The sequence below is a fragment of the Homo sapiens genome, chromosome 16, assembly GCF_000001405.40.
Source record: "Homo sapiens chromosome 16, GRCh38.p14 Primary Assembly".
In the NCBI taxonomy this organism is placed as follows: domain Eukaryota; kingdom Metazoa; phylum Chordata; class Mammalia; order Primates; family Hominidae; genus Homo; species Homo sapiens.
Window position 1 is genome coordinate 90172061 of NC_000016.10, and position 25562 is coordinate 90197622.

Consider the following 25562-nt stretch of genomic DNA (forward strand, 5'->3'; position numbering starts at 1 on the left):
TGCGCCAAGCCCGAATTTTTTATTTTATTTTCCTTATTATTTGGTGTTAAACAGGTTTAATGACGGTCATGGCAACTTTTTGGCACAATGAAAAATATCGCCCACGATCAACGTGTTCTGTTCTGGGGAAGGGGGCAAAGGCAGGGTGAATCACTTTCTTAAAAAGTATAGCTCAAGTTGGGAGTGCAGAGGGAATGGGGAGAAAACCCTCCCGCTGCCTGTGTCGAAGTGCAGGAGCCCCCACCCCCATACTCACCTGAGTCCAGCCCCTCTGGGGAAAGAAGGGGTGCATGAACTCCCCCTAGTCCACAGGCGCCTCCCTGTGGCCCAAGGCCCTCTTCACACTCCATCTTGTAGCCCCAGCAGGAGCTATTTTCCGAAAAGTGAAAAGCTCTGAAGGTCCCACAATTCATGGTATGTACAGGGGCTCGGAGGAGGGAAACTGCCCAGCTTTCCCCCGGCACAGCTGCAGGGGTAGGGGGTATAGATAAGAGGAGCAGGCCTTGGCCAGGCGTGGTGGCTCACGCCTGTAATCCCAGCACTTTGGGAGGGGGAGGCAGGCAGATCACGATGTCAGGAGATCGAAATCAGCCTGGCCAAGATGATGAAGCCCCGTCTGTACTAAAAATACAAAAATTAGCCGGACGTGGTAGCGTGCACCTGTAATCCTAGCTACCGAGAAGGCTGAGGCAGGAGAATGGCGTGAACCCGGCGGGAAGAGGTTGCAGTGAGCCAAGATCGCACCACTGCACTCCAGCCTGGGCGACAGAGCAAGACTCGGTCTCAAAAAAAAAAAAAAAAAAAAAAAAAAAGAGGAAGGCCTTACTCCGTCCCAAACTGAAAGGATTAAATGGCTTCACCTGGGAGAAGATAACCATCCTGCCCTCCATTGCTACCCCCACATACTGTCCATGTTCTCAGGGGGTACTGTGAGTCCTGGGATCTTTGGGGTTGCCCACCTGCCTGTGGTAGCTATGGAGACCCCCAGGTGTTGAGGCAGGGCTGGGGTGTCCCCTTCCAACCAGGCTGTCAAGGCCCCAACTCTGGGGCAGAGGCAGTGGCAGGGCAGCCAGGGTTGCGCCAGAGCCTGAGCAGGTTGAGGTGGGGTCAGGCAGGGCTGGGAGTCAGGGCAGGGGCAGCAGCAGTGGACCTGCTATGCACACATCTTCTTCTCCAAGGTTTGTGTGCAGAACATCCTGCCCATGCTGCCCCAGCAGCTTCAGTTGGCACCTGCCCCAGTCCAGCCTCTGGGAACCATGCAGCAGCTCCCAGCGGCCCTGCACCCACCACCAGCATCCGTTTCACCTGCAGTTGAAGATCCGTGAGGTGCCCAGAAGATCATGCAGTCATCAGTCCCACGGAGCAGCCCGCGAGGCTGAGGCTCCTCCCACTGGACCGCCCCCCAACTGGCACCACTGCTGCCCCTGCCCCTACTCTCAGCCTCACGTGACTCTCGGGCAGAAGCAGTGGTGGGGCAGCCAGGGCAGCGTCAAGAGTCTGAGCCAGGTGAGGTGTGGTCAGGACCCCCACAGTGCTGGGAGTCAGGGCAGGGGCAGAACAAACCTTGGAGGGGAAGATGTGTGCATAGTGGGCCTGGAGGGTGGCTGTGGCCTAGTGGACAGGAAGAAGCAGTGGGCCTGGAAGAGCTGCATGATCAGGGCCGGCACTGGTCCAGGGTACGTGCAGTGAAGAGGACAGTGCCTTCTCGGTCTCCGGTTCCCTGAGCCTGTCCTCGGCTTCTCCACCTGTACAGGCAAAGGGGAAGCTGTCCCCATCACACATGGCACACTTGGGGGTGTTGGGCTTTGGACTGCAGCTGGAGCATCTTCTCATCTTGCATTTGGGCGCGGTGGGGTCCTCCAGTGTGGGATCCATGTCCGTGGGGTTCCCTCTGCCCCGACCCCGAAAGCCCAGTCAGTTTCTCTTCAGGCTCTGCTCCCCGGGTGGCTCAGCCCAGCTCCTGCCTAGGAAAGCCTTAGTGTTGGGAGGGACCCTGATGACTGAGGAGCCTGGTAGCTCCAGGTCGCCCACACTTTCAGGTCTCTTGCACCAGAAGGTGGCAGGATCCATTGGGAGGAAACAGGCCACCTTGGAAGGTGTCCCTGGGCCCCCATCCCCAGGGATTGAGGCCGTAGGGGGCCCGCTCTGCTGCGTTGACCAGACTCCTGGGCTTTGAAGGCTCCTGGGCCCAGTAAGAAGGAGGTGGGTGCCAAGGTTGAGGAGGAAGCATCCGAGTATGTGTAGGAGGAGGACAGGGTGTGACCATAGACTGCCAAAAGCTGCAGGTGGATCGGGGGACCCTGGGGGCTCAGGATCCAGCAAGGGGCGGCAGGAGTAAAGGAGGAAGGAATGACAGGTGCAAATACCTTCCCACCAAAGCCCTTTATGCCCTCTGGCTCCTCCCCAGAGTTGTCCCCACTCTCAGTCGGTCACCCACTCCTTGAACTTGAGATCGGTGTCGGTGGTGCTAAAGCCATCATCAGCAATGACATCATCACCCCCTCCTCCTCATGGATGACCGTGTGCTCCTCGTCACTCGCTATGACCTCGCTGGCCATGTGCTGGGAATGAGCAGCTCACGTGGGCGGCAGCAGGGCTGCCCACGGGTCACCTCCCTCACCAGGGGCTGCAAAGTGGCCTGGAGCTCCATGCTGAGTAGAAGGCTTTGGGCCAGAGTATGATGCAGTGCCAGACACCACCTGTGTCAGTTCCCGTAGTGCCTGACGGTCTATTTCCCTGCCGTCCAGGCTGTGTACCCCGCTGTGGGAGAAGGCTTGGGCCAGGCTGAGCCAGGTTCCCTGACTGTGTGCAGCCGTTCTGCCCCACAGAAGCTGCTCCTTGGTATCCGAGCTCTGGAGTGTTTGGGCTGCAACTGACAGGAGTTCAGAGGACACCCCAGGGGCAGTGGCAGTGCCCGTCTCTGATATGCTCCGCTCCCACGAGCCCTTGTTACACTCCTGCTAGCCCCTGGCTTGTGGGCTTGGCCTCTGAGCTGGACTTCTTTCGGTCCTTGTTGCAAGTGGGCCACCTTCACCTGGAAGGCCAGGTCGTATTTCTGCATCTCATTGGGCCCCAGGGTGTACCACCGCTCGCTCAGCATCTGGCTGACGGTCCGGTTATCCTGGTTGGGGTGACCCTGGTGCGCCCCGCCAGGGCCTGGTGCCGCCTGCTGAAGATCATGAGCGCCACTCATGGGCCACCGGATGTGGTCCTTGTCCGATTTGTTGGGGCTGCGTCCATCCTTCTCAGAAGATGAGTCCTGTTCCTTGCTCAGGGCACTGAGGGACTGGGCCTGACATCATCTGAGTGGTAGAGGCAACTGGGTGTCAGGAGACATGATGGAGAGGAAAGCATCATCATGGTCATTCTCTGTCTCACTGTCCAGCAGGGACTCCCCTGAGGGGCCCAGGGCTCCTCCTCCATGGTGGGAGGTGAGCTTTTACCAGGTTCCACCACCCCCAAAGTGTGTGGGGTTGCGGGCCCTGGGCTTTCAGGGCAGGTGGCTCCAGGGGGCCGCCCAGGGTCAACACTCCCTGTCCCACCTGGTGGACGCTCATGAGCAACGGCTGCCAACTTGGCAGGTTGTTTTCTCTGGTTGGAGGCCACTGAGTGACTGGCAGGTTGCTGGGCCTCGTGTGGCTGCAGGGAGGGGTCAGGAAGGGGATGGAGTACCAGGAGAACACGGCCGCAGAGTGACCTTCCACATTCCTCCACACGAACATGCTGACGCCACGGGAGGCCTCACTGAATGCAGGCCTGGGGGCCGAGCACTTGGTCCGGGCAGGGGGTTCCTGGCAGGGGCTCACACCTCCTCGCCCCCTCCTCAGCCAAGGTGGCTTGGGCCCAGAGAAGGGGAGGTTGGAGAGGAGCAGAAGGCCAGGCCTCAAGTTTTGTTTTTTTTGTTTGTTTTGTTTTTTGTTTTTGAAATGTAGTTTGACTCTTGTCACCCAGGCTGGAGTGCAGTGGCACGATCTCAGTGGCCTTCATACCTGGCTAATTTTTTGTATTTTTACTGGAGGTGGGGTTTTGCCATGTTGGCCAGGCTGGTCTTGACCTCCCGACCTCAGGTGATCCACCCACCTCAGCCTCCCAAAATGGGATTACAGGCATGAGCCACCGCTCCCAACTTCATTCATTTTTACTTGAAAAACTCCGTTAAGCATTTTTTTAAGGTAGACCTAGTGGTCCTGAATGCCCTCAGCTTTGTTTGTCGAGGAAACACATTATTTCTTTTTCCTTTCTGAAGGACAGCTTTGTCAGACATAGTATTAGTTGCTGGCAGTTTTTTTCTTTCAGCACTTTGAATGTATTATTCGATTCTGTCCTGACCTGCAAAGTTTCTTTAACTTTTGACTATTTGATTATATTGTGACTTGGTGAGTATCTATTTGGTTTGAACCTCTTTAGGAATCTTTAAGCTTCATGGATTTAGATGTCTAAATCTTTCCCATGATTTAGGCAGTTGTCAGCCATTCTTTAAATAAGCTTTATTCTCCTTTCTCTACTTTCCTTCTCAAACTCCCATAACCTGACAATGGTTTGCTTAATGGTGTCTTATTGGCTTTCTTTTCTCTGTCTCTTTTTTTTTTCTTTTTGAGACAGAGTCATGCTCTGTCACCCAGGCTGGAGTGTAATGTGTGGTCTCGGCTCACATTGCACTCCAACCTCCGCCTCCTGGGTTCAAGCGATTCTCCTGCCTCAGCCTCCCAAGTAGCTGGGACTACAGGTGTGTGCCACCACACCCGGCTAATTTTTGTATTTTTAGTAGAGATGGGGCTTTGTCATGTTGGACAGGCTGGTCTTGAACTCCTGACCTCTTAATCTGCCTGCCTCGGCCTCCCAAAGTGTTGGGATTACAGGCTTGAGCCACCACACCCAGCCTTCTTTTCTCTCTTTTATTCTTTTTTTCTCTGTCCTCTGACTGGATAATTTCGGAAGATCTATATTCAAGTTTACAGATTCTCTCTCCTGTTGAAGTTGACTATTGTGTTATATCACCCAGTCTGGTCTTGAACTCCTGGGCTCAAGCGATCCTCCCACCTTGGCCTCCCAAAGTGCTGAGTTTACAAGCATGAGCCACTGCATCCAGTCAGTCCCAGCACTTTGGGAAGCTGAGGTGGGAGGATCACTTGAGCTCAGGAGTTTGAGACCAGCCTGGGCAACGTACTGAGAACTTGTCTCTATATTAAAAAAAAAAAGAAAGTCTTTGGGAGGCCAAAGCGGGAGGATCACCTGAGGTCAGGAGTTCGAGACCAGCCTGGCCATCATGGTGAAACCCCATCTCTACTAAAAATACAAAAATTAGCCAGGTGTGGTGGCACACGCCTGTAGTGGTGGTGCATGCCTATAGTCCCAGCTACTCAAGAGGCTGAGGCAGGAGAATCACTTGAACTGGGAGATGGAGGTTGCAGTGAGCTGAGATCGCACCAGTGCACTCCAGCCTGGGCAACAGAGTGAGACTCCATCTTATAAAAGGAAAAAAGAAAGAAAAGAAAAATTCCATATCTGAGTGTTTACTCCTGAGTTTTTGAGATTGTTATTAAGATCGTGGTCTACTGTGATGATTTGGGTTTGTTTGATAATCAGAAAAAAAGCATATTCTTTTAGGTGTTCAGCCACACTGCTTTGGTGTCACAACTGCACATTGGTTTCACAGCTGCAGGACAAGTTCGAGCATCTTAAAATGATTCAACAGGAGGAGATAAGGAAGCTCGAGGAAGAGAAAAAACAACTGGAAGGAGAAATCATAGATTTTTATAAAATGAAAGCTTCCTCTGAAGCACTGCAGACTCAGCTGAGCACCGATACAAAGAAAGACAAACATCGTAAGAAGCAATAGTTTCTCTTACTATTCTGAGAGCCTTATCATTCTACATCCCATCTTCCTGTGAGATTGTCTTTGTAGCATTTAACTCTAATTGCAGTTCTCTTTTTAAAAATTGGCTTGCTTATTGTATATTTTCCCCAACTAAAGCGTGAACTCCTAGCAGGGCGTGATGGCTCATGCCTGTAATCTCAGCACTGTGGGAGGCCGAGGTGGGTCGACTACCTGAGGTTAGGAGTTCGAGACCAGCCTGACCAACATGATGAAACGCTGTCTCTACTAAAAATACAAAAATTAGCTAGGCGTGGTGGCTGGGACCTGTAATCCCAGCTACTTGGGAGGCTGAGGCAGGAGAATCACTTGAACCCTGGAGGTGGAGGTTGCAGTGAGCAGAGATCTCACCATTACACTCCAGCCTGGGTGACAAGAGCAAAACTGCATCTCAAAAAAAAAAAAAAAAGGGGGTGAACTTGAAGGCAGGTCCTGTGTCCATCTTTTCAGATTCTGTATCCCAGCACTTAGGACATAGACAAACACGAAGATGACAATCAATATTTGCCAAAATGAAAAAACAAAAGAAACATGTAACATCATGTAAAAGAAGCTGGTTAGGTGGAGAAATTTATTTACCATAGTCTTGCTTGTGGATCCAGTAGTGACTTTTACAGTTTATATCTAAATAGAAGCTGGAGGCTTTGTTGGGGACTCATAGGCATAAAATATTATTTATTATAGAGTTAAATGCTACAAAGACAAATCTAATTAATAGGCCTATTTTCCTTTTTAAATTCTACTCATAATTTCTTCATAGTTTTTATGATAAAAGTTTGGATTTTGATTAGAACTCCCATGATTTTGTGTCAGAATTAAAACTGGTATTAGAATAAATAATTCAAAAGCTAGAGAAAGAGTACAAAGAGAAGCCATGAGTTGCATTTGAATTATAATATTATGTCTTACAGATTTGGGGTATATGCTAAAGTTACCAAAGTTGTAGAAAATAAGGCCGGGCATTGTGGCTCACATCTGTAATTCCAGCACTTTGGGAGGCCGAGGTGGGCGGATCATTTGAGGTCAGGAGTTTGAGACCAGCCTGGCCAACATGGTGAAACTCCGTCTGTACTAATAGTACAAAAATTAGCCAGGCGTGATGGTGTGCACCTGTAGTCCTTGCTACTCAGAAAGCTGGGGCAGGAGAATCGCTTGTACCCAGGAGGCAGAGGTTGCAGTGAGCAGAGATTGTGCCACTGCACTCCAGCCTGGGTGACAGAGTGCTATGAGTCACCACACCTGGTATGAGCCACCGTGCCTGGCCCACAATGACTTTTACACATGTTGTTAAATCATCTTACAGATTTTATAATTTGGGGGAAGAAAAGTTTTACTAAATTGTCTTTTAATGGAAACTCTACAAGAACCAGAATCTTTGCTTTGTTCACTTATGTATCCATTCCTAGGCCTAGAAAAATGTCTGACACATAGCGGCAATTATTCATTGAATAAATGGACCCAGCGATAGTACATTGGCTATGCTATATGCATACATTAAAGATGTAGATTATCGACTTTCAAAAGATAATTAATGTAACTTCTTACTGCTTCTGAACATGTTTGTGAGTTATATTGCTGAGGGACCTTTGTCTTCTCATTCTTTCATCTTAACCCAGTGTTATAAAATTGAAATCACCAATATTATTCCATATCTAAAATTAATATCTACCTTGTAAAAAATATCACTCTGCTGCATTTGAGAATAGACTTTTTAGGTAATAATGATGCAATCCATAGGGTTTTTTGGGGGCACAGAGGGATTCATGCTAACAGAACATTTTATTTTCTATTTTCCCAGAGCTGTAAAACATGAAATTACGGTAGTATAAGGCATATTTTTACTCTTTTTATAATTTTTTCTAAAAAAAATTAGTGTTTGTTCCCTATATAACTTTTAACTTTATAGGTAAATATTTGTTTCTTTCAGCTCCAGTTTTATGTGAAATAGAGTTTTCAGATTTATGTAGCATGGAAAGTTTTAATACGTAAGAGTTACTGATTTTTGCCAATCATTTTCTCAATTATTTCTTTTTTATCTTTAGTTGATTTTTTTGTAGTGACACATTTTGTTTCTAGTCTCATTTCCTTTTGTTTATATTCTATGTATATTTCATTTTTGGTTACTATGAGAATTACATATAACATCCTAGAGTTATAACATTTTAATTTGAATTTATTTCAACTTAAGTTCAATCACATACCAAAATTCTACTGCTATATATATATAGCTCTACTCTTTTTATGTTATTGATGTGACAAATTATATCTTTATTCATTGTATACCAGCTAACAGATTTACAATTACATTTTATGCATTTGCCTTTTAAATTATGTAGAAAATAAAAAGCAGAGTTACAAACCAAAATTACAATAGGACTGTTTTTATGTTTGTTTATGTATTTACCTTTACCAGAGAGCTTTGTATATTCATACAGCTTGCTTATTTACTTATATAGTTATTGCCTAGAGTTCATTTATTTCAACCTGAAGGACTTAACACTTCCTGAATGGCAAATTCAGGGATAAATGGATTTTTTTCAGTTTTAAAAAAAAAATCCGGAAATGTCTTAATTTCTCCTTCATTTTTGAAGGATAAGTTTTCCAGCTATATATTTCTCAATTGACAGGTTTCTTCATTATTTTAAATATATAATCCACTGCCTACTGGCCTTCAAGGTTTCTGCCGAGAAATCAGCTGCTAATGTTATCTGGATCCCTATCTGTGAGAGTTGCTCTTCTCTCTGAGTTTTCAACATTCTCCCATTATCTTTTTTTTGTTTGTTTTTGAGACAAATAATTGTACATATTCATGGGATACAGAGTGATATTTTGATACATGTATACAATGCCCAATGATCAAATAAGGATAATTAGCATATCCATCACCTCAAATATTTGTCATTTATTTGTATTGTGAACAGTCAACATTCTTTCTTCTAGTTTTTTAAATTTATAAACATTTAAATTTTATTACAGAAATTTAAATTTTTTGATTCTGAAAAAGTCATATATGTATGCAACATTTTTTATCATTTATTTATATATTTATGCATCTTTCCTTTTAGTTTTGACAGAGATTTTCTATTTTATCATTATTTCAAAAGAACTCTTACCTGTATTTATTTATCAATTATATTTCCCTTGTTTTTTCCTAGTATATTATTTACTTATCTTCTAAAAATCCTCCATATAATCTGTTTATTTTGTTTCCTTTCTATAATTTCTTCAATAATTAGTTCTGTTCTATTTTCCATTAAAATATTTAAATCTTGTATGAATTTTTGTCAGATTAGAAATTTAGGGCGTTTCTTAATTTCTCTATACTCTAGCTTTTGACTTTTTTTTTCTGACCTAAGAGGTATTTAGAGCACATTTTAGATTTTTTATTTTGACTAATCATTTAAAATGTATACTAATCATCAATTTAAATAAAAAACTGGTCTATAGTGACAAAAATTACAAATGAGCCTAACTAATAAATTATCAGCTGTGTTTATATGTATAAGCATGCACAGATTTTGGTAAATATGTACATAGTATGTTGGTGAGCTTATTTTTATCATTCTTAACTCATTGTGTAGTCTAAACATTGGGGAAAAAATAAAATACAATAATCAGATGGTGTGAATAAGAAAATTGTTCTAATGTTTGTAAACCAAGCAACTGTTTTAACTGCTCCCCTCTTCCTGATTGACTTCTAAAAGGGATTGATCCATATTGGGTCCTATCATATACGTCACGGTATAACATCTCCAGCTATAAAATGGAAATTTGAGAATAACTTTGCTGCTACTCAGATACATTTTATTTCAAAAACATACACTAAGGTGTTGCTGTTGGATCTTTCCAAAAACGTATTCACACAGAACTTTCAATCACACTGAGCCATATTTGAACAATCTTTCAAGGTCAGCTCTGGCATAAGCTAACATTATACCATTTAACTCAGAAGTTTCTTTAGTATTTGATTAATGGGTTTATGTTTGATATGTAATGTAATTTTCTAATACTAAATCAAGTGGTAATTTTGTTAGTCAAGTTGATTTAGTGGCTTGGGAAGAAAGCTTTTAATGTTCCCCTAATTTTTCTTACCTTTGACATGATCCTTTACATGTCTTATTTTGCTTAGTGATTTTTCTTTTTTTTTTTTTTTTTGAGACAGGGTCTTACTCTACCACCCAGGCTTGAGTGCAGTGGTGCAATCACAGCTCATTGCAGCCTTGACCTCCCAGACTCAAGCTATTCTTCCACCTCAGCCTCCCAAGTAGCTGGTACTACAGGCACATGCCACCAAACTTGGCTAATTTTTGTATTTTTTGTAGAGACAGAGTTTTGCCAAATTCTCAGGCTGGTCTGGAATTTCTGGGCTCAAGTAATCCTGCCTTGGCCTCCCAACATGCTGATATTACAGACATAAGCCACAGTACCTGGCCAGTTTTCTTTTTAAAAAAATCTATTGGTTATTAATTTGAAGGCTTCCTTTTCATAGCTGTGCTCCTTAATTGGGAGCAAACATGAATGGACCACAACTTAGCCAATTTTCTATATACGATCTTTGCCATCCTAATTTAAAGGAATATTAATTCTTTCTTTTCCTCTTTCATTCCACAAACCTGTATTGACTACATCTAAGTTCTAAATGGTGCACTGGATGTTGAAAAAGTTGATGATGAGCAAGAACAAAATTCCTGCTTTCAGGAGACTTACAGTTCAATATGGGAAATATAATTTGTTAAAATATAAAAGTGCAATTGTGTTACATGCTGTACGAAGTACATGTTGACATGTGAGCATATAATAAATGGGCTGGAGGCCAGAGGATTGCCAAAGAGAATGGGCCTCCTGCTGAGATGAAAAGTTGAGCAGGGATTAGTTGGCGAAAGTGGAGGGACGATCCTTTCTAGGCAGGACGAAGAACATGTACAGAATCTCTGAGGTGTGATGCGACAAAGTCTATATAAAAAACTGAAGAAAGGTCTAATGTGGCTTAAATACAGAAGCTAGTAGGAGAGGAGTCGAAAAGAGGCTGGAGAAGTAGAAAGTGTCTGCATTCTGCAGGAACTTATATTGTATAAAATATATTGTATATTGTATAAAAAGAATTTCTCTTTATTCTAAGTGCAATGTGAAGCCAATGAAGTGCTTTAAACAGGTGATGTGATTTGATTGAATTTATTACTTCACTTAACAAATATTCATTACATGCCCACTGTTTGTCAGATATTGCTGTAGCCCCTGGTGATACAGTAGGGAATAAAACAGGCAAAAATCCCTGTCCTCTTGCAGCTTATAATGGACTGCAATGTTTAATATGTCAGAGGAGGTCCACGGAGGAGTGACTTCTAAGCAAGAATCTGAAAAAAATGAGGATATCTAAGGAGGGAACAAATGGTTCAAAAGCCCTATAATTGCAAGCAGGCATGATGAAGCAATTGCAGTTGTCCTGACTCTCAACACCGTGGAACTCAAAGGAGATGGAAAGATTCCTTCTCTCCCTCATATATTTTCTCTCTTTCTGTCTATATATATAGAATATGAGACATTTCCCTAATCATTATGTGTAATTACAATTACATATATATATGTAATTGTAATTACACATAATGATTAGGGAAATGTCTCATATTCTTCTACTCAGAAATAAGCAATATAGCAATTACTGTTTTTTACATTTTACAGTTACAGTTTCAGAGAAAGTTTGATATTTATCTAAAATTGTTCAATGTATGAACTTTTTCATTTGACAAACCATAATTGTACATATTCTTGGGATACAGAGTGATATTTTCTTTACATGTATAGAATGTGTAGTGATCAAATCAGGGTAATTTCCACTAATTTAAAATGCCACCTTTATGTTATTGTAATTTATATATATACTATATATATACACACACACATATATATATATACATGTCCCCATACAGTGTGTGTGTGCACATGTACACACATGCATATGTGTATATAATGCCCAGTATAAGCAATGTGCACAAATAAAATTAGCTAACAGAGATAGTATAGAGTGAGAGGAGAGGCAGATTAATCTTTGAGGAAAAGCACAATTTTATAGCTGAATGGAGAAAGCTGAGGTGGTTTCTAAGATGGAGAATAAGATGAAAAATGTAAGTATGTTGTTTGACTGAATTCAAGAAAGAAGGGTAAAAGAGAAGAAAGTAGTGGTCTTATCATTAAATGCCACAGAGAGGTAAAGATAAAGACAACATATTGTTTTGGGTTGAGTAATTTAAGGGTTACCAAATTCCGTTTTGGAGGAGGAACAGATTCCATGTCCACTAGAATGGAATGAACAAGAAATGGAGGAGGAAAATAGGTAGTTTTTCAAAAGTTTTCAAAAATATGAAAAGAAGAAATGAAGTGGTACTTGGAAGAGATTGTTGAAATGGGAGAGACTATGGTGGCTTGTTTAGAAGCAGTTGAGATAGATCCAATTGAGATAGAGATATTGACTATATAAACAAAAGAATGACAAATTAATAGTGTAATGGATAACTTGACTTTGGCAAATATTGTGAATTTTTGTGAAAGTACAACTAAAAGGCAATGTCACTCCAATAATCACCAGAGTAATCAATTTGCTTATTGCTGTCCCTTTAAATATAGTTCTCTGGTATCAACTAACATGTTTTTAACTAATGATGCTTCTTAAAGAAAAGGGAAAAGACCTTTTTCTTTCTTTCAGTCTTCAATGATTCACTGCTTCATCTCGCTCCACCAAAGATAAATGAAATCTACATCTCTTATACATTAACAATGCATGACAATTTACAAATAGCTAAATTTTTGGAGCTAACTTTAAGTACCTGAATGGAATTTAATCAACCCACTAATCTCCTTCTCACTTCTCAGTTATTTATCAAGTTTATGTCAAGGGACAAGGAAAAATTATCCAAACATTGTTTAAAACAATCAATATTAATTAGTAACACTTATCCAGGGGGGTTTTTAACCTTTCCCCCACTCAAGGATTATTCTAATGTCAGAGTAGAATAAAAAATAAGTGCAGCGATGCTGACTCTTCCAAGCTTAACATTTCTCACAAGTCAATTAGCTTTGTACTGGGAGGAGGGCGTGAAGGGCTGCTTGCGGTAGTTGTGTAGCAGCAGCACAATGGCCGCAGACAAGGAAAACAGTTTCTAGGAATTCCTCGTATATAATTTTATATTTTTGACAAGATTAATGACCCATGCTCCCTTCCTCTCCATTTCTTTTTTTGGAATTCTGTTGGTATGTAGTTACTATATTTTATTAAAGGAAATTAGCCTTATCTCTTATTATATTTTATTAAAGAAAATTATTATATTATTCCTTTATATTTTTATTAAAGGATTTTATTATTATTAAAGGAAATTAGCCTTATCTCTTATTATATTTTTTATGACCTTCAAAGTAGTGTCTCTGCTTAAAAGTGTACCCTGGCCGGGCGTGGTGGCTCACACCTGTAATTCCAGCACTTTGGGAGGCCGAGGCGGGTGGATCACGAGGTCAGGAGATCGAGACCATCCTGGCTAACACGGTGAAACCCCGTCTGTACTAAAAATACAAAAAATTAGCAGGGCATAGTGGCGGGCGCCTGTAGTCCCAGCTACTCAGGAGGCTCAGGCAGGAGAATGGCGTGAACCCGGGAGACGGAGCTTGCGGTGAGCTGAGATCGCACCGCTGCACTCCAGCCTGGGCGACAGAGCAAGACTCCGTCTCAAAAAAAAAAAAAGTATACCCTGAGGCACACATCAAGCGACATGTAGAGTTCATAAATTCTGGCCAAATGGTCATACCTCAAACCTCATCAGCAGTAAGGCTCTTTACTTGCACTGACAAATATGAACGCTGGGGAATTTGGAAATGATATATAATATATAATATTATATATATAATAAATATATAATATATATAATACATATATAATATTATATATGTAATAGATATACAATATATAATATATAATAGATATATAATATTATATATAATAGATATATAATATTATATATAATAGATATATAATATATAACTTTCCTTGTGATTTTCCTCTTAATTTTTTTCTAGCTGATCCATATGAATTCCTCTTATTAAGAAAAATAAAGCATCCAGGATTCAATGAAGAACTGACTATCACCTTGTTAATCATTCAGAAACATGTTGCAGGCTTAAGCCATTTTTGATATAGATACTGAAACAATTACTTGCTAAGAGCAAACTTGAAGGTATGGATAAGGCCCTGAGTCATCTTCCTGAGCTGAATGATAGTTAAGCTGAATGTACGTATAAAATATGATTTTCTAACCACTTGCTCGCCAACAAGGAAAAGTTTTAAGTAGAGCAGAACCTGAATAGACAAGACATTTCTTTCTTTTGGTAGAAAATGATTTACCATCACTGTGTAGTTAATTGTAGACTAGGTAATTTTAACTTTGTGATTTATTGCCGGAGACATTTTCTTCTGTACTGTAAAGTGTGTGTCAAAAAAAAATAGCGATTTTGGAGGATTAGGGGACTTTGATAAATTGCCTGCAATTCTGGCAGTATGAACTGCATATTAATTTCTCTCTTTCAAGAACATTTTTATTTATTAATTCCTTACAAAAACTCCCTAAACTTTGGAACAGCTCTCAATTGCCTGTATTCTTTTTTTTCTTATTATGGTACTCTTCTAGAGATTTGGCTTGCATCTGTGAATAAGCCAGGACATCTTCAGAAATTGTCTGATTAAAAACACCACCAATGGAGTTTCATTAAATTTGTATTGCTCTGACTAGTGAAACACACACATCTACGTTGCTGAGGATATTTTACTGCAGTTCGAGTTGTAATAATAGCTCTGTTTAAGATCCGTCAGTCACTTGAATCTTCTCTAAGGCTTTGTATGTTAGAAGTTAATTTGCTTTCTTACAAGGCCACATTCTATCTTGTAACTAAACAACTGAATTTTATGTCTTAGCGTAGATGGTTTATTACTTTCTGGTTTTTCTTTAGTAAGAATCCTATAAAAACACTAGTATTTTTCTCTGAGTTTAAAATTCAATACATGCCTACTGATATGGTTAGGCTTTGTATCCCCACCTGAATCTCATCTTGAATTGTAATCCCCATAGTCCCCATAATCCCCACAGGTCAAGGGAGAGACCAGGTGGAGGTAATTGAATCATGGGGGCAGTTTCCCCTGTGCTGTTCTTGTGATAGTGAGTTCTCACGAGATTTGATGGTTTTATAAGGGATTCTTTCCCCTTTGCTCGGCACTTCTTCATGCTGCCTTGCGAAGAAGCTGGCTTGCTTCCTCTTTGTCTTCCGCCATGATTGTAGATTTCCTGAGGCCTCCCAAGCTGTGCTGAACTGTGAGCCAATTAAACTTCTTTCCTTTATAAATTACCCAGTCTTGGGCAGTTCTTTATAGCAGTATGAAAACAGAAAAATACACCTACTATGTAAAACTTAAAATACAAAAAAACAAAACATTATCTCACTAACATAGGAGCTAATATTTTGGTGTACTTTGTTTAGTATTTTATATTAAAAATATGTACATATATATTTATATATAATTAAGAACATGTATGTACAATCGTGCATACATCATGTACATACATCTACTTAAGAAAATAGCTATGTAATATACCATTACTCAACTAGATTATAATTTTTTCTCCATTTCTTTATTGTAATTTATCATTTTCTACTTTTTTGTTTTCTCATTTTTATTGCATAATATTTAATTATGCAAAAAATACATTAAATACATTGAAAATATATAGTGTAGCTATAAGAATAAAGAACGATGGTAAAACAAATGCTAATACCCACTACCTGACTTAAAGAATATGATATTATTTTTTTCCAATTGAAATTCCCTCAACTACTCAGAATTACTGCTATCCCTCTTATCCTTTCATTAATTTTCTTCTAGTTTTCTCACATGTGAATCTATTTCTAAATACATTTCTTTATTTTGCAAGTTTTTGGACTTCATATAAATGTAACCATATTGTATATATTCTTCTTCAGCTTCTTAGTTTTTCACTAAACAATATGTTTTGCTGATACTTACATTCATATGTACAGTAATAGTTGATTTATTTTAATGGCTATATATTATTCCATTGTTAGAATACACCAGGATTTATTTTTACTTATTTTTTTGCTGGAAAATTGGGTGTCTTTTTTATTTTTTGATATAACAAACAATGTTGTAATCATTTTGTATTTACTTCCTAGTCCACTCCTGTAAGTTTCTCTTGAGTACATACTAGCAATGAATATGCTGAGTCACTGCATATACATACTCACAACTTTATTCTATAATGTAATATTCTATAAAGTAGCTGTATCAGTTTATACTTTAACCAGTAATGGACAAGATTTTCTGTTACTTCCCATCTTTGTTAATTATTACTTTTAGACTCTAACTTTTATCAGGCTCATGGATGTAAAAAGCATCTCAGGGTGGTTTTAATTTGCATTTATCTGCTCATCTATGAAGATGAGCTTCTTTTCATATAATTATGAGTCATTATTTTTGTTTTGCCTTCTTTTGTTTATGCATTTTGCTTGTTCTATGTCTTATTTTTCCTGTTGATTTTTGGGAGTTCATATATATTCTAAATGTATATTTATTCACTTATATATATGTTGTAAATATTACAGTTTATGATTTGTCACCTTATGATATCTTCCAAATAGAGAAGCTTTATATTTTGATGTAGTCATATGTTCATTTTTCCTCCTTAATGTTTGTTTTTCTTGGTCCTATGACCTACCAAAAGTAACAAAAATTCTCATTTATTTTTAATCTAAATGTTTTAAGTATTTTCCTGGAATTCACCTTGAATTGATTTCTATTGGAGATAGGTATCCAATCTAATTTGCCTCATATGGATAACCACTTGTTCTATTACTGCTGTAATAAATTTCTACAAACTAAGTGACCTAAAATAACACAAACTTGTCATCTTACAGTGTACACAAGTCAGAAATCAGGCATGAATTTTAGTGAACTAAAATCAAGTTGTCGACAGGCATGTTTCTTTATGGTGGCTAGGGTAGAATCCATATCCTGGCCTTTTCTATCTTCTAGAGAACATCAGCATTCCTTTTCTCATTGCCTCTCCTCTCTCTTTTTAAAGCTGGCAATGTCACATTTCTCTGACCATTCTTTCATTGTCACATCTCTCTCTGGACTCAGCTAAGAAAGGTTCTCCATTTTTAAGAACTCATGTGATTAGACTGGGCCCATCTGGGTAACCCAGGAAGATCTCTCCATCTCGGTTTGCATCCTTAATCACATCTGATAAGCCTTTATTGCATTCAGTGTAACATATTCACAGGTTCCAGGGTTAGGCATGGGCATCTTTGAGGGCCATTATTCTCCCTACCACATTATTTGCCTAGCATCTTTCATTACATTGTCCATCTATTTACTTACTGATTTCTAATGACATCCAAATCAGTTACAACATTTTATGTAAGCATTGTTTTTATTTTTATGTTATTCCACTAGTCTATTTTTCTACTCATGAATTATGGTACATGAGTTTATTTTTGCAACTTTAAGCTCAATAACATGTTTTAAGATTTCCTCAACTGTCTTTTTGCGCTTCTTCAGAAGTTGACTCTTTTGACCCTTTGGTCTTCTATGCACATTTTAGAAATGCTTTGTTGAGGACTAAGAGGAATGCTAAGATTTTGATAGGAATTTCATTGAATTTTGAGTATATTCGCATGCTACAATGGTTAGTGCTTTATACATGAAAATAATATATCCCTTCCTCTTTTCCTAGTATCATGAGATGTTTGTTAGGCAGACATGAATATTGAGTTGTATCAAATGTGGTTTTCTGCATTATTGTGGTGGTGATGTGATTTAGCTCCTTTAATTAGTTAATGTAATGAATTACATTTGTAGATTGCTCTAACTATTGAAACAAGCTTGAATTTCTGGAATAAGCCCAATGTGATATTTATTCAACAAATATTCATTGAGTATACCTAGTATGTAACATGCTTTAAGAATACACCAGTGAACCAAACAGAAATATCTTACATTACAGAACTTAACATGCCAGTATTTGGAGACAGACGATAAAAAAGTGAACATGTATATTTACAGTTTGTCAAGGAATGATAAATGAAGACTCTTAAAGTAGATGGGGAATTGGGAGTGAAGTCTGTAATTTAAATAGGGTGGGCAGGAAAGCTTCACAGAGAATGGGACATTTAAGAATAGACTTGAAGGACAGGCAAGAGCAATCTCTATGTTTATATGGGAGAAAAGGTTCCAGGCAGATGCAGTAACAATGGCAAATATCCTGAAGTAGGATCATGCTGGAGTTTTTGTGGAGCAGCAAGGAGGCTAGTGTGACTGCCACAGAATCACCCAAGGGAAGATGAGAAGATCAGACCAGACCAGCACTTGGGCATCTAATGGGAAAAGTTTCTCAAGCCATCATAAAAATTTCACTTTTACTATAAATACTACGAGAAACCATGGGATGTTTTACAGTAAGAAAGGTGGCATAATATGTTACATGTTTTAAACAAACTCTATAGCTTCTGAGTTGATTGTAGGGGCTCATGGCAGAAGCAGAGGGAACATTTAGGAGACTACTGTAAAGAATATCATGAAAAGAACAAACAACGCTATGTAACATGCTTAAATGGACTGAAGAAGATGTATAAAATCAAAATGATGTTACCTTCACACCTTGAATCAGTACGATAAACCCCCCTCCCCAATCACAAAAGAAAAACTAAACACAAAAACCAGGCTTTGGTTGCTCAGACAATTTTACAGGTGAGTTCTAGCAAACATGCAAAGAACGTTTAATTGCACTGTTACAGAAATTCTTCTGGAGACAAGAAAATAAGACACATCACCCAACCAATTTCATAATAACAGTGTCAATGTATAATAACAGAAAAAGTGGATCTCCAAAGAAATAAATTTATTTGGAAATAAACAAGGATTATAATCTGAGATATTTGTGCTATGATCAATCATAGGTGCATCCCAAGAGGTTGAGGTAAGGAAAATATGTAAAGACAAAAAGAAGTCCATGCAAGCTGTTTTGAAACAAACATCATTGGTCACAGGGTCTGATGCAGGAGCTGGTGTTAACTTACTGGCAGAAACAGCCATTGCTAGGCAAGTGTTCTTGTGAGGGTGGCTTATCTGAAATGCTGCAGTCTTGAGGAATTTTTTATGATAGGTCCTATTATAGAGACACCTACAGGATGAGCTGGACAAACAGAGTGTGCTGGGTGGGCAGAAATTTCTTGTGAGTTTATAGAAAGTCCTTGTGATAGTGCTTATCGTGGACAGACACACAAGATCCCCTTTTTCATGACCCGGCTCCACTTTGCTTTGGGTCTGATGTAAGTGACTTTGCCTTGTCATTGGCAACTTTCACTGTAGTATAATCTGCACATCAAAGTTACCTAACAATAGTACAAAGAAAGAAAATTAAAGGTATATCTCTTTCAAAAATATAAACCCCAAAATTGTTAGGAAATTGTAGTGAGTATAAAAGATAATTCATTATAATAAACATCTCAAGCTTCACAGAATTCTGACCTTTGCTACACTCTCATCCACAATCTTTTCTCCTAGTAAATGGCAGCTCCTTCTGTTAAGTTGCTGAGGCTTCTTATTGCTTTTTTCTTCAAATAACAGTCAGAACTGAACAACTGTAATCATCCTAGTCCATACAATTGTTATATTTTCATTTAAAGAAGATCAATGTGTGATTCTTTTTTTATATATTTCTGGACAATTCTTTATATTTTAATAGTAGTCAGAATTTGATCAGGAAAACAGAAGACATCCTATGTATTATAATGATAAAAGTTTAATATTAATTAGGGCCTTATGCTATTATTGGAAGAGCTTGGTGAATAGATATTAGAAAAGCAGCTAGACAAAATCAGAAGAGGTCTATTTTATATCAGAGATCTTAGCCTGACAGTCTAGAGTGTGGGCACAGAACCCAAGCTTATAGGAATTTCTGAAAGGTCTGTAAATCTTATCCAGATGGACAGTGGGAGCTCATAAAGGATTCTGCAAGCCATCACATCTGTCAAACCTGCTATGTCTAATCCTTAAGCCTGCTTTATTTGAAGACCTCCTCTTCACTCCTCATTTCCAGCTCTCATGAGTTTCTTTCATAGGCAAACCCAGACCTGGAACAATGTGCCTGAAGACTTCGGGTGACACAGTACCCAGACTTAAATAGGAGGGGAGCCATGGTGGAAGTGGCCATCCAGCACAATTTTCTTGGTCTTTACTCATAGTTTTGATTCCTTAAAAAAATTAACCACATTAAAATATGTGTTTCATAATCTACATCTAATAATACAAATATTTAAAGTCTTTTCAAGTTTGAATACGCTACCCATGTTGCTGCTACCCCCATTTTGTGTGTGTGATTTTTGTGTGTGTGTTAGAAGCTCATGACCTTTGAAACCTGCTCTTATGAGCTTGCTTTGATGATTTATTTGTCCAGAGAGGATTTTTTTTCCTACCTAGCATTTTGGACTGCTATCAACCTGAGACCACTTTGAATTAAATTCTCAGCTTGCAAATTTGGAAGCCACACAGATTGTGTGAGTTCAGGCTGAAACCTGTTTGAGAGCTGGATTCTGGCTATAAACTCCACAGGGAACATTTTCTCTCTCCACTCAGAGCTGAGACCATAGGGAAATTTATTTGCTAGCTCACTTTGAAGGTTTATTTTATTTATTTTTTAAATTTCTAGTACACGTGCTCACTGAAGGTGTAATACTTATGTGAGAATCTCAAAATCAGTTGTGTTCTTTGTATGACCCTGGTTTTGTTTCCTCCTGCTCTCTTACTTTCAGTGTGTCTCAGTATGTCTGCTCAATATGTCATCTTAAATTTCAACTGAGGGTGGATCTTCTTCCCAGCTCACTCACATGGTTCTTAGCTAGATTCAGTTTCTCTCCATTTGTAGGACTGAGGACCTCAGTTCTTCACTTAGGGTTGGCTACAGGTAATCATCAATTTCTTGTAACAGGACTTACACTGGGCCACTGACAGCATGCCAGTTGGCTTCATTCAAATGAGAGGGCAAGAGAGAGAGAGAGAGGGAGAGGGCACAAGAAGAAATTCACAGTATCTTATAATCTAATCTCAGAAGTGGCATCTCATTTCTTTTGTTCTATTCTATTCAATAGAAACAAGTACCTGGGACCAGCTTACACTATAGGAAAGAGATTATATAAGGGTATAAATACCAAGAGGTAGAGATCATCAAGAGCCATTCTGGTAGCAGCCACAATATCTTATCCAGAATATTTCTTATTCAGGCCTTCAAATGTGCTGTCTTTTCTGGTCTAATGGAAATGAACCTTCCTTCCATAATATTTCTTCTCCTAAATTGTACTCTGGCTCTCTTATCATATACAAACGTCTATGTTAGGTATTTGTGTCTGTCTTGATTCTTGGTAGGCTTTTAAACTCTGTGAATGTTGGACTGTGATGTAGACATCATTTCACCGCACACTCTGTAACCACCAAACCTTAGCAGCTTATTCAGTAAGCACATACTTGGCTCTTAATGAGTATTGCTTAAATTGATGAATTGAATTAGTATTTTACCTTCTCTGTTGCTTAGCTAAGCAGAAGAATTTGTCATTTTTTTAATTTAGTGACTGGTTCTATTAAAAGTTACCTTTGTCTATATCATTTTGTTATACTAAAGCACAAATGTATAAGGTCAAAAAACATTCTCAAGATTTTGTTTAAACCACAGCCCTCAGTTGTGTATATTTATCTCTTGTTTTCATATGCAAGATTTCTCCTGAAATGGGCAAGAATTACAAGAGTTTTTTTCCTCTTCTGAACTAAGAAAATAAATATTTAATTCACAAGTTTAGAAAAGTGAACCTGAAAAATCACAGGGCTAGGTGGGTTATGAGGCCCACTGGTACATGATAGTGTTGAATGTGGATTAGAATGAACTCCGTGGATTAGAATCTCAGACCATAGGCAAACATTTACTTGTTTTAGAATAAGCACATTTGAGTCTGCAATAAGTATTACTATTTTTAAGTTGAAAATGTAATTGGTTTCTAATAATAACCATATTGGCTAGCATTATTTCAATCGTGTTTAATGTTTTCCAATGTCATTTCACGTCAGATATCTCTCTTGATTCCTAGTAACAATTTGGACAAGACAGCAAATGCTATTGTCCAAGTTTTCTAAAGAAGAATCTGAAGTGAAATGACATCAAGAGACCTATCAAGACCTGTATCCAGGAAAAGGTAAATCTGAGCTGAAATTGTAGCCCTTGTAAATTACCTACGTGACATACCAGATAGTGTTCATGATCCATTTAGTACTCTGTTCTAAAAATGAGACAATATCCATTTATTCACTTGTTCATTTATTTAGTGTGTGTTCAGCCCTTACTGCATATTCCAGGCACTATTCTGACTGTGGCAGGAGTGAACAAACAGGCATGGTTCTTACTTGCATGTAATTACAGTCTTATAGTGAAAACAAGTGTTAAACAACAAAATCTCCCAATTATTTTAAAATTATAAACTTGATTCGATACTATGTGGCCATATAATTGTTCCTAATTTGGTTGGAGAAGGGAGGCAGTTAGGGAAGCCTTCCCTGAGTTAGTGCCATTTAACCTGAATTATGATAGATGATAAGTAATTTGTCAGGGGAAAAATACTCCAGGAATAAAGAACAGGTACAAAGGTCAGGTTCTGGGAAGAGCTTGTCTTGGTCCAGGAGCTAAAAAATGTTAGAGTGGCTGGATCTGGGCAAGAGACAAAGAGTTATTAAATGAGGCAGCAGGCTTCAGCAGGTGCCACATTGCTCAGGGCCTTGTAGGCCATGCTAAGGATTTGGGATGTTAATGTCAGTACAAACAATTGAGTCGTAAGCAGAAAGTAAAAGCATGATTCCATCAAATGTTATTCTCTAAACAGTAATTTTATAAATACAGGTTAAATGTGTGTGGTCCCAGCTACTCAGGAGGTCCCAGCTACTCAGTATTCCTTTTCAACAAATATTAGGTGCCTACTATTAGCCAGGTACAGCCCTTAGCTACTTTGAATGAAGCATATATTACAAACTGGCAGAATTTCTTAAACAAAGAATCTAAAGTTGTTTATACACCATAATCTCGGTATTTTATAAATTTCTTGAAATTATTTTTATGTACACTGCTTTGCAGAATTTTAACTGGCTTTGAAATAAACAATGACAATAGTCCTCCATGTTACTAGTTTCAAATTTTCCCAATACCTACTAAGACATTACTTAATCCACAGATTTACTGTCAATAGTTTGTATCAAATTGTGATAACATATTTGAAATTAATATTTCATATTAAAGCAAAATCACAAATTTATACTTTATATTATGAATGAGATTCACAAAAGGAGCATGATAACATATTCTGTTGTCATCGCATACAAAATAATAACATATAGAGTATGAATCAATAATTTTTCAAATACAAAGCTATTACAATTAGGAATACAAAGAAATCATAATTAGGAATACTTCTACAATATTAACACACAATAGTGGTAACACTTGCAAAATGATGGTGGTGGTTTTTTTTTTTTTTTTTTTTCCCCCGACAGAGTCTTGCTCTTGTTGCCCAGGCTGGAGTGCAATGGCATGATTTTGGCTCACTGTAAACTCCACCTCCTGGGTTCAAGCGATTCTCCTGCCTCAGCCTCCCTAGTAGCTGGTATTACAGGTGCCTGCCACCACACCCAGCTAATTTTTGTATTTTTAGTAGAGATGGGGGTTTCACCATGTTGGCCAGCCTGGTCCCGAACTCCTGACCTTAGGTGATCCACCAGCATCGGCCTCCCAAAGTGCTGGGATTACAGGTGTGAGCCACTGTGTCCAGCCAGTGGTGGGTCTCATATCTCAATGTGGACTTTTACTAACTCCCAATGCCTCAGTTTCCTCATCAGTTGAAAGGAATGAATGAAAGATATGTGTTTTTCATATTACCAGGTAGATGATAAGGAGATTTTAATTTTCTTTTTTTTTAACTTTTATTTTAAGTTTAGGGGCATTTGTTACATAGGTAGACTGGTGTCACAGGGGGTTATTGTACAGATCATTTCATCACCCAGGTATTGAACCTAGTACCCAATAGTTATCTTTTCTGTTTCTCTTCCTTTTCTCACCCTCCACCCTCAAGTAGACCCCAGTGTCTGTTTTATTCTTTGTGTTCATGAGTTCTCATCATTTAGCTCCCACTTATAACTGAGAGTATGCTGTATTTGGTTTTCTGTTCCTGCATTAGTTTGCTAAGGATAATAGAAGGTCCATCCATATTCCAGCAAAAGACATGATATCATTTTTTAATGGCGGCATAGTATTCCATGGTGTATATGTACCACATTTTCTTTATCCAATCTGTCATTGATGGGCATTTAGGTTGATCCCATACTTTTGCTATTGTGAACAGTGCTGCAATGAACATTTGTATGCATGTGTCTTTATGGTAGAATGGTTTATATTCATCTGGGTATATACCCAGTAGTGGGATTACTGGGTCGAATGGTAGCTCTGCTTTTAGCTCTTTGAGGAATCACTTTCCTTGCACAATGATTGAACTGATTTGCACACCCAACAACAGTGTATAAGCATTCCCTTTTCTCCATAGCCTCACTAGCATCTGTTATTTTTTGACTTTTTAATGATAGCTATTCTGACTGGTGTGAGATGGTATCTCATTATGGTTTTGATTTGCATTTCTCTAATGATCAGTGATGTTGAACTTTTTTTTTGTATGTTTGTTGGCTGCATGCATGTATTCTTTTGAAAAGTGTCTGTTCATTCCCTTTGCCCAATTTTAATGGGGTTGATTGTTTTTCTTTTGTAAATTTCTTTACATTTGAAATGTTTTTATTATTAAGTTGAGCTGCCTCATTCTTAGTATGGTTTTTCACTTTAAAAAGCATAAAGGTGGACATGGTGGCATATGCTAGTAATCCCAACTACTGGGGAGACTAATACAGGAGGGTTGCTTGAGCCCAGGAGTTCAAGGCTATAATGTGCTATGATCATGACTGTGAACAACCACTGTACTGCAGCCTGGGCAGAGTGACATAGTGAAACCATATCTCTAAAAAAAGAGAAAATGTAATTTAAATATTTAAATACATATGTATATGTGTGTATATATGTATATATATTGCATATATCAAAAATGGTTTGTAGTTTCCATTCACAGCACATAGTAAAATGTCTTAACCTCCTCCCTCCTCCCTATGTGTGTTTTTCTAAGTGTGTGTCTTTTTTACCTTAATTTTTCTCTTAGTGTCTCATAGTCTTCTTAGGTCTCCCTCTTTCTTCTGTCTTTCACACACACACACACACACACACACACACACACACACACACACACACGCATACACACATGTACCTTGAAAAATAGCTTTTCTTTTTCTTAAAACTTCCCAAAGCTTTCATAAAATTAGCCCTCAAGCACTCTTACGTATCTCATCCACTCTTCTTCCTCTCTCCCTTTCCTGAAGCCATTTGTAACTTACTCTATTACACTAGGAAGGGGAAGCAAATATTCATATTATTTTCTTGTTATATCCTTAGCCTTACTAGACCTTTGTGGTTTCTATGGATGAGGGACATAATATTTATTAATTTATTCTAAA

At 39.1% G+C, this 25562-nt stretch overlaps 2 long non-coding RNA genes and 2 pseudogenes across 2 annotated transcripts in view; 3 read left to right on the forward strand and 1 right to left on the reverse strand.

Moving 5' to 3' along the window:
- The window catches only part of FAM157C (family with sequence similarity 157 member C), a 75343-nt gene extending 69797 nt beyond the window's left edge, over nt 1-5546 (forward strand). Inside the window, exon 4 of the long non-coding RNA NR_126161.1 lies at nt 5378-5546. This is a non-coding gene — a long non-coding RNA (family with sequence similarity 157 member C). The remainder of the gene's footprint in view (nt 1-5377) is intronic.
- CICP25 (capicua transcriptional repressor pseudogene 25) lies at nt 44-3812 on the reverse strand (annotated as a pseudogene).
- On the forward strand, nt 5655-8240 carry SEPTIN14P16 (septin 14 pseudogene 16; annotated as a pseudogene).
- The window catches only part of LINC02193 (long intergenic non-protein coding RNA 2193), a 35498-nt gene continuing 25058 nt past the window's right edge, over nt 15123-25562 (forward strand). The window contains exon 1 of the long non-coding RNA NR_186354.1: nt 15123-15222. This is a non-coding gene — a long non-coding RNA (long intergenic non-protein coding RNA 2193). The remainder of the gene's footprint in view (nt 15223-25562) is intronic.